Source organism: Homo sapiens, chromosome 1 (assembly GCF_000001405.40).
Source record: "Homo sapiens chromosome 1, GRCh38.p14 Primary Assembly".
NCBI lineage: Eukaryota > Metazoa > Chordata > Mammalia > Primates > Hominidae > Homo > Homo sapiens.
Window position 1 is genome coordinate 170094930 of NC_000001.11, and position 9206 is coordinate 170104135.

Sequence of the window (9206 nt, forward strand, 5' to 3'; positions counted from 1 at the left end):
CGATTTTCCAGGTGCCGTCTGTCACCCCTTTCTTTGACTAGGAAAGGGAACTCCCTGACCCCTTGCGCTTCCCGAGTGAGGCAATGCCTCATCCTGCTTCAGCTCGCGCCCGATGTGCGCACCTACTGACCTGCGCCCACTGTCTGGCACTCCCTAGGGAGATGAACCCGGTGCCTCAGATGGGAATGCAGAAATCACCCATCTTCTGCATCGCTCACGCTGGGAGCTGTAGACCGGAGCTGTTCCTATTCGGCCATCTTGGCTCCTCCCCCTTAGAATATGTTTTAATGTCCGTTATTCTGCATGGATGATTCAGTTACATGGTGCGTTCTTTCAATACATAGATTCACATCCTTTTTTTATTTCAGGAAAATTTTCTTGAAATATAGTTTTTAGTATTCTGTTTTCTTGCTTGAGTTTTCATCACAGACAGAATTATTGATATGTTGGGTTTTCTTTGTCTATCTTCAATATTTGTCATTTTCTCTTAAATTATTTTTAATTCTTCATTTCTTTATGATTTAATTTTTTCTTCTTTTGACTTTCTGTTTTTAATAGTTTTTTTGACATTGATTTACTCATGTTGTAATATAGGTTACATTTTTAAATGATTTTAAATTTCTAATTCTTTCTTGAGTTGTATCAGCTTACTTCTGAGTTTTCTATACCATTTCATGTTGTATATCATTTTATATAGTTTGGCTTCTTTTGAGATAATATTTTGCATTTTTGGTGTTTCTTTCTCTCCTTTTATGTCCTTCTGGTGTGATTTCATTGTGATTGTATGAGATTTGACCTTGATATACTTACTTGTTTATTTTTTATGAAATTAATTTTCCTGAATGTTTAGAAAATAGCAGCTTTTCTAACTTCACAGACCCTCCTCTTCTGCTGTTTGTGTTTCATCTTAAAAAATATAGCATCTTGCTTTGTGAAATTTCCTAGCTTTGTTCCCGTTCGCCACTTTTATCTGTATTTTTTTTTCCTTTAAAAGAAAGAAAGAAAATATTGTCTATTATCTCTTTGCTGCTAAATGATGCTTCTAGTCTGAGGATTTTCTCTTCAATATGGAGCCCTGTCCTGGAAGGAAACTCTGGTGGATCAGGTTTGAGAGCTCCTAGAGAATAGACTGCTGCAGAGCTGCTGTAAATCAGCAGATAATTTACACTCAGTGAAAATTTGTTGAATGAACAAGCTCTGCTCAGTTTCAGCCATTCTTCTCAGATTCCAAGGATTGGAACTTGTACTTTCCAAGGATTATCTGTTGGATGTTTTGGTTCTTTTGTTCTCAGGACCATCAAATGCCTTGTTACTTCTCCTTGTGGTTGTTAGTAGTTTGTCTCTATCCATTTGTATTTTGAGGTTTGCATGGTATCCTGTTACACAGATTTGTTGGAATTTTGGTTTTGCTGTCTAGTTGCTTGCTCTTTTTAATGTGGTGATCTGGGAAGAAACAAAAAACTGTGCTGCCACTGCCATCTTCCCAGGATACTACAATAGTTAATCTTTTTATAGATGAGAAACCTGAAGCCCAGGGAATTAAAGTTATTTGCCCAAGATTCCACAGCTAGCAGCAGGAGATAACTGTAAGTAAAGCAGCTTAATTAGTGTCTGTTGCAGAGAAACTGATTAATGCATGCTCTTTTCTTTCTCCTTTCTTCCCTCATTCTTCCCAATCCTTCTTCTCTTCCTTCCTTGCTTTCAATTCTCCTTCCCTTTCTCCAGAGCCCATATTTAAACCCAGTTATTTCTGACTTCAAAGCCTCTGCAAATTCATTAAATGTGCTATACTTCTACCCCATACTGTGAAATCACTGGAGTTTTTAATTCAACAGAACTATTGAAACAAAATTAGTTTCACTAAAACTTACACCCGTCTTGCTCTAAGAATGTTTTCTTCTTTGCTGTTAAGCTTATATACTTTTCTAATAAAATCCACAAATGTCAAATTCTTTGACACATGCCTCATCAAAACGTGGCACGTTAGAAATAAATTGATGCCCCTAGTTCAGTGAATCCACTTATAGGCATTATATATAATCCTTTAATTGCCTTCTTTCTTTTTAAAATATCTTCTACCATCACCCAGGAAACCACATTTGACAAAATGTAAATGAAATCTGAACCCGAAAAGGCTTGACTTCACTTCTGAATTTAAAAACCACAGAATTTAAAGATATTTTAAAGTTTGGACGAAGTCAAATGCCCTGCTTTTGAAAAATCTTATAAAACTGCCAGTTAACTATTCAGCTTTGAGACACAAGTCCACAAAATACTAAGCTGCATTAGTTAGGAAGCTTGGCTCCTGATAATACTTGACTGAAACTGATTCATTCAAAAGTTGAATGCACTTTGAAGGCTCCCAAATAATTTATACTGTATACCCTGTAATGTAAAAACTATAATTTACTAATTCTCCACAATCTTCTACAAAAGATTAATTAGAAATTAGATCTTGGGGAGCAGAGTTTTGCTTAAGGTATGAAATCACCACACAAAACCTAAGGGATTCTATTTCCAGCCAATCCCTTTATAAAATCCTGTTCCAGCTTTTGGCTCTGTAATGGATTTCCCAGGTTGGTGATATACCACACAGAAAATGCCATTTCCTTATTTTTTTCCCCCTTGAACTTCCTGCACTAACTGTGCAGGCTTAGTCCACACTGTTTGAATTTACTTATTGTGGTTTGCATAAAATTATCCTTCACTCATCTACACGTAGTAGATAATGGTTATTTGCCTATAAATCTAACAGGTACTAAGTTTTATTTACCCTCCTGCACTGTGGGCATTCTCTGAACAAACGGGCAGTTGTTCTTGAAACATTTTCCATTTTTATGAGTTTTGGAACTGTTGGAACTGTTTGAAACTGCTTGTTGCTTTGTGTGCTTTTTAGCAGCTCGAGGCTCCTTCTTTCACGGTGTTTACTCTGGAGCTGGGGTGAACAGAGGATCTTGGAAATGACAGAGTGTTAATATCCTGGAGTGTGTCTTGCTACATGTAAAAGATTGCTTCTCTAGGCTGCTAAGAGCTGCAGCAGAAGCAGACTTTTCAGGAGACACACAGACAAACACATTTAGTCATGAATGGTTGCACACCTACTCTCACTCTCTCTGATTTTGCATGTGCACGAGCAGGCCAGGAAACCTGACCCCATGTTGATTGGAACGTTGCTTTGCATTTATTTCCAGAATATTTGGAATGGCACATATGTTTCCCATTAACGCTCATGTTTGATTGTTCTAAGTAATTTTTTAAAAATTAAATAAACCTGTATCAAAAATTGTCACTTTGTGTTGAAGAAGCACAATTAGGTCCCTTTGGGGGAGTAAACTGAAAAGAAAGAATGAGATGAAATATTTTGGCTTCTTTATATGTATTTCTGTAAATGAGAGTGGCATTAAGATCTAGTCATACATTTGAGGTTCAAGGGATTTTAAATAGCTTTTGAACAAATCAAGCACAAAGTAGCATTACTTACACAAAGAAACTCATTTAAAATAGCCCATTAATGAAATGTGATTTTAAACCATGTCTGTTTTAAATATATGTTCAAAATTAAAAGTTACTGGGCCAGAAATGGAAAGTTAATGCCTGAATATAATGACTGTAATTGTTTCAACCCATAAGGGCATGATTTGGTAAATTATCAGACCTGGTATAATATACTTAGACCAAGAAGACTTCATAAATTTCTAAAAGTGCAGTTATTTGAATCTGTCTTTATTTTACCTAACAACCTAAGGGTTGTCTCCAAACTCAACCTGGTAATGCTGTGGCCCTGTTAAGACAAAAAGGAAAAAAGCTTATGTATGTATATATGTATGTATGTATGCATGTATGTATCTGTCTATATCTATCTATCATCTATCTAACTATCTATCTATCTATCTATCTATCTATCTATCTATCTATCTTCTATCATCATTTGGCTATCTAGCTATCATCTATATAGCTATCTATCATTATCTATCTCTATATCTGAATCTAAGTGGCTAAGTCAAATATTTTGAGACCCAGGTATCAGGCTGATATTGCCTCCCGGCTCCTTACCTATCCTTTTATTTCACTCTTTCATTCTATACATTTTGGATAGCACTTTGTGTATTAATCCTGTTTTTTATTTCTCATAGTTTATAATGCTTTGACATATTGGGAGGTCATGGGGACTTAGGGAGGGACTTCCCCTCCCAGGGTTTGCTAATTCCTAGACATTGCAAGCAACTTGCCTGTGAGCATGCTTTTGATATGCAAGCCAACCAACTAGAGCTCAGACTCTCACTAACCTCCTTTCTCAAATTCTCATACACCAAGCCAATACTTCCCTGCCTTAAATTACCCAAGGACTGGGTACCAGACAACTAAGTACCACCCTAGATGCCAGAGCCCTTTGAAATTATTCAAATTGTCCAATCGTAAGCTTGCTCGGTGTACCTACCCTACCTCACCCATTCCTTCCCACAGAAACCTAATACAGGCCCTGGTCCATATTTTCCCCTTCTTTCCTTCTGCCTCCCAACTGACTGGGTACTTCCCCATGTGGCCCTGTGTTGTATGGCATGTTCCTTCCTCTTGGGAACTGTAAGTAATAAACTATTTTTTCAATGGAATAATTTCCTGATCTATTGGCCTCATCATGCCTTATTAAAACGAATCCTAGGTATATTTAAGCACACTTTGGCACTCTTCTCTATCATAGACTCCTGGCCTCTCTCTACCCACCTTCATTTCTATTCTTAAAGACCTTTGTGACTCTATTAACAGACATGCTGAGACAGCCCTTTTTGGTGAGGTATACTCCTGTAAAACTCCAATCCCAGAGGAGTCGTTTGGCCTAGAGGTAGTTAAGCACCATCATAGCTCCTGGCCTTTATGTGAAGATATTCCATCCTGACAGGCCCAACCCAGTCTCCACTGCTGCCTCAGGAGATGAGTTCAACCGTGAGATACTTTTCCTGGAGCTGCTCCAGGCTCTGCTACCATTTCAAGCCCATGACTAGGCTTACCTTACTAATCATTCTTCAGATCCCAATTCCCCCATAAAATGTAAGACCCCTTTGCCCACTCTTCCAAGCTCACTTCTGTCCTTTCTTGTATATTTTCTCCACTATCTCCACCCAACCATCTCCTTACCATCCATCCAAAGTCCTACCAATCCTTAAGTCCTCTATAAAATCTTCTTCAATAATAAATCCTCTCTCTGAATTTGATTATATTTAATTGAATATTTTCTCATTTGTTGTCATTTTCTCTACATTTCACATACATTTTTCTTATATAACTGGATCCCTAGATTTTAAAATACTTGGCACTGTAAGGAAAGCTTGGAATTTGAAGTCAGAAGACTTGAACACATATCCTGATTCAATTACTTAAAAGTTTTATTAGTCTGCTCAGGCTGCTCTACAAAATACCACATTGTGATAGACTTAAAGGATGGAGATTTATTTCTCATAGTATGGGAGGCAAAAAGTCCCAGATCAAGGTCTGGCAGGGTCTGTTCCTGGTGAGGGCTCTCTTCCTCGTTTGTAGATGGCTTCCTTTTCACTGTGTCCTCACATCTTTTTCTTGGTGTATGAGCATGAAGAGAAAGAACAAGAGGGAGCTCTCCAATGTTTCTGATAGGGACACTAATCTCATAGGATCAGGACCCCACCTAACTTTAATCACTTCCCTAGAGGTCCCATCTCTAAAAACACCCACATGGGGGGTGAGAGCTTTAACATACAAATTTTTGGAGGGCATAAACATTCCAAATGACTACAACAATATTTTTACGTTTGAAAATGAGGAAAATACTACCCAGCATTTCTTCCCAAACTCTACCAAAGGGCTGAATCATGTTAAGTGCTGAAAAATAATTATTGCATTGAATTTTAAGTAAACAATTTTATTATTTGTATTTATGAAATTGATATTGCAGAATGAGAAGTAAATTTATGTCACCTGAAATCCTGATGTTAACTTTTCAGGTTTCAAGAGTTGAATCTCAGCTTTTAGAAAGGCTTTTGCAGCTGATTCTTTCCATTGCACATTAGGGCAAAAGGGCCTCTGGTGTCAAATTTTCTTTATCTCTAAAAATAAATGTTTTTAATCTTTCCAAATAAATTATCTTATTCCTCACACTGTCAGCCTAGCTTCACACTCTAGTATGAAAATCTCAGAATTCTAGCTGAAATATGGAGAGGCATTTTACAAATACACATATTTTTTAGAGGACAGTTTTATTCCACTTGGTATTTTTTTTTTTTACGATAAATTCTATTCTCTCCATCTACATCCGTTAGACTGTCTCTTAGATTCTTTTCTCAGATGGCTTGCCAGAGGTTGGGAAAGGTAGTGGGGATCCAGGGGAGGTGTGGGGGTGGTTAATTGGGACAAAAATATAGAATGAATAAGACCTACTATTTGACAACACAATAGAGTGACTATAGTCAATAATAACTTAATTGTATATATTAAAATAACTTAAGAGTATAATTGGGTTGTTTGTAACTCAAAGGATAAATGCTTGAGGGGATGGATACCCCATTCTCTATGATGTACTTATTTCACATTGCATGCCTGTATCAAAACATCTCATGTGCCCCATAAATATATACACCTACTGGGTACCCACAAAGAATTAAAAAATAACTTAAAAAATTTTATAAAACTAAAACCAAAACAAACAAACTCCTTTTTGGTGAGTATTAGGTAAAAAAAAATTCAATTCAAGTTAAAATTGCCTTCCCATGCTAATCACTAGAACTTCAAGCTAGTCATCTGGTCCTTCTAGATTCTTACACTATGGATCTTTTGAAATAATATTTCCTAGATGCTGCCACCAGTTATTACCAGCTCCTCCTTTGATTTACTCCCAAATTTCTCTTTGTTTTCACTTTCTTTCTGCTCCACTCATAACACCTCTAATTTCATTTATTCATCCAAAAAGCATTAATTGAGAACTTTTTATATGCCAGGCACTAGGAATTTGATGGTGAATAAGATTGGCCCCGACCCTGCTCTCATTAGTTTTATAGTCTAATGGACAATAAATTTTCTTTGACTGGGGAAGCACTAGGTGCTCTGAGCTCATGGTCTTGAAGGGAATGTCAGGGCAAAGGGAGTAAAGGGAGAACCATAGGTGCAAAGTCACAGGAAAGAAGAAACAATGCCTGCTAGTGAGCTGTAACCAACCTCAATAATTTCAACTACCTTCTACATGATTCCTCCACCTCTCTCTCCTGGAACTCTGTCTGTTGACAAGCATCTTCTGTCTGTTGACAAGCATTTCTTTCTACAACGCAAACTTGGCTATTACACTCCTGTTTCAGAACTCTTAATGGATTCCTGTTACCTACAGAATGAAGTCCAAACTCAGTATGTCAGATCACCTCATCTGCCATAACCCTGTGTGGGATACCTTTAGTCACTCCACATTACTTGCTGTTTCCCAAATAAAATGCACTTTATACTTCTGTGAATTTGCCTCTTCCTCCTAAATTTGTTTACTCGATGAACTCATTTTAAACTCAGCTTTTAATGTCATTACTATGAAAATATTCTTAACCTTTCAGTTTCTCAAATAAAATTAATTGCTTTTTTCTTTGTAGCTTGTCACAACTCATGTTGTTTACGTAACTGCCTCCCTAGATAGACTATGTATTTCTCAAGCCCTTTGATATTTTATACCGGTATTCAGTAGATACATACTAAATTAACTTGAATTCAGCCTTTCACAAGTATCTTTTCTCTTCTCGCTGAGATCAATGCACTTGACCCCTTTTATTTGATTATTCTTCTTCTGATGTTTGGATGCCATTTATCCATTAAACTTAGGCCTTACATTTAACCAAGAAAGCTGTTTAATAAAGATACAACTGCTTATGGAGCGCATTTATCACAGTGATTCACAATTTACAGAATCACTTTTCACATATTTAGTTAATAAAAGAATGATCAATCTTTAATAAAGCTGGGCTTAAAATGACATATTTTTCTTTTTTTATTTTTATTTTTATTATACATTAAGTTCTGGGGTACATGTGCAGAACGTGCAGTTTTGTTACACAGGTATACATGTGACATGGTGGTTTGCTGCACCCATCCACCTGTCACCTACGTTAGGTATTTCTCCTAATGTTATTCTTCCCCTAGCCCCCCCACCTTCTGACAGGCCCCAGTGTGTGAAGGTTCCCTCCCTATGTCCATGTGTTCTCATTGTTCAACTCCCACTTATAAGTGAGAACATGTGGTGTTCGGTTTTCTGTTCTTGTGATAGTTTGCTGAGAATTATGGTTTCCAGCTTCATCCATGTCCCTGCAAAGGACAGGAACTGATCCGTTTTTATGGCTGCATACTATTCCATGGTGTATATGTCCCACATTTTCTTTATCCAGTCTATTATTGATGGACATTGGGGTTGGTTCCAAGCCTTTGCTATTGTGAATAGTGCCACAATAAACACATGTGTGCATGTGTCTTTATAGTAGAATGATTTATAATCCTTTGGGTATATACCCAGTAATGGGATTGCTTGGTCCAATGGTATTTCTAGTTCTAGATCCTTGAGGAATCGCCACACTGTCTTCCACAATGGTTGAACTAATTTACACTCTCACCAACAGTGTAAAAGCGTTCCTATCTCTCCACATCCTCTCCAGCATCTGTTGTTTCCTGACTTTTTAAAGACTGCCCCTGGCATAAGTTGGTATCTCATTGTGGTTTTGATTTGCATTTATCTAATGACCAGTGACGATGAGCATTTTTTCATATGTCTGTTGGCTGCATAAATGTCTTCTTTTGTGAAGTTTCTGTTCATACCCTTTGCCCACTTTTTGATGGTGTTGTTTTTTTTCTTGTAAATTTGTTGACGTTCCTTGTAGATTCTGGATATTAGTCCTTTGTCAGATGGATAGATGGCAAAATTTATCTCCCATTCTTTAGGTTACCTGTTCACTCTGATGATAATTTCTTTTGCTGTGCTGCTCTTTAGTTTAATTGGATCCCGTTTGCCAATTTTGGTTTTTGTTGCCATTGCTATTGGTGCTTTAGACATGAAGTCTTTGCCCATGCCTATGTCCTGAATGGTATTGCTCAGGTATTTCTCAGGTTTTCTTCTAGGATTTTTATGGTCCTAGGTCTTACATTTAAGCCTTTGATCCATCTTGAGTTGATTTTTGTATAAGGTGTAAGGAAGGGTTCCAGTTTCAGTTTTCTGCATA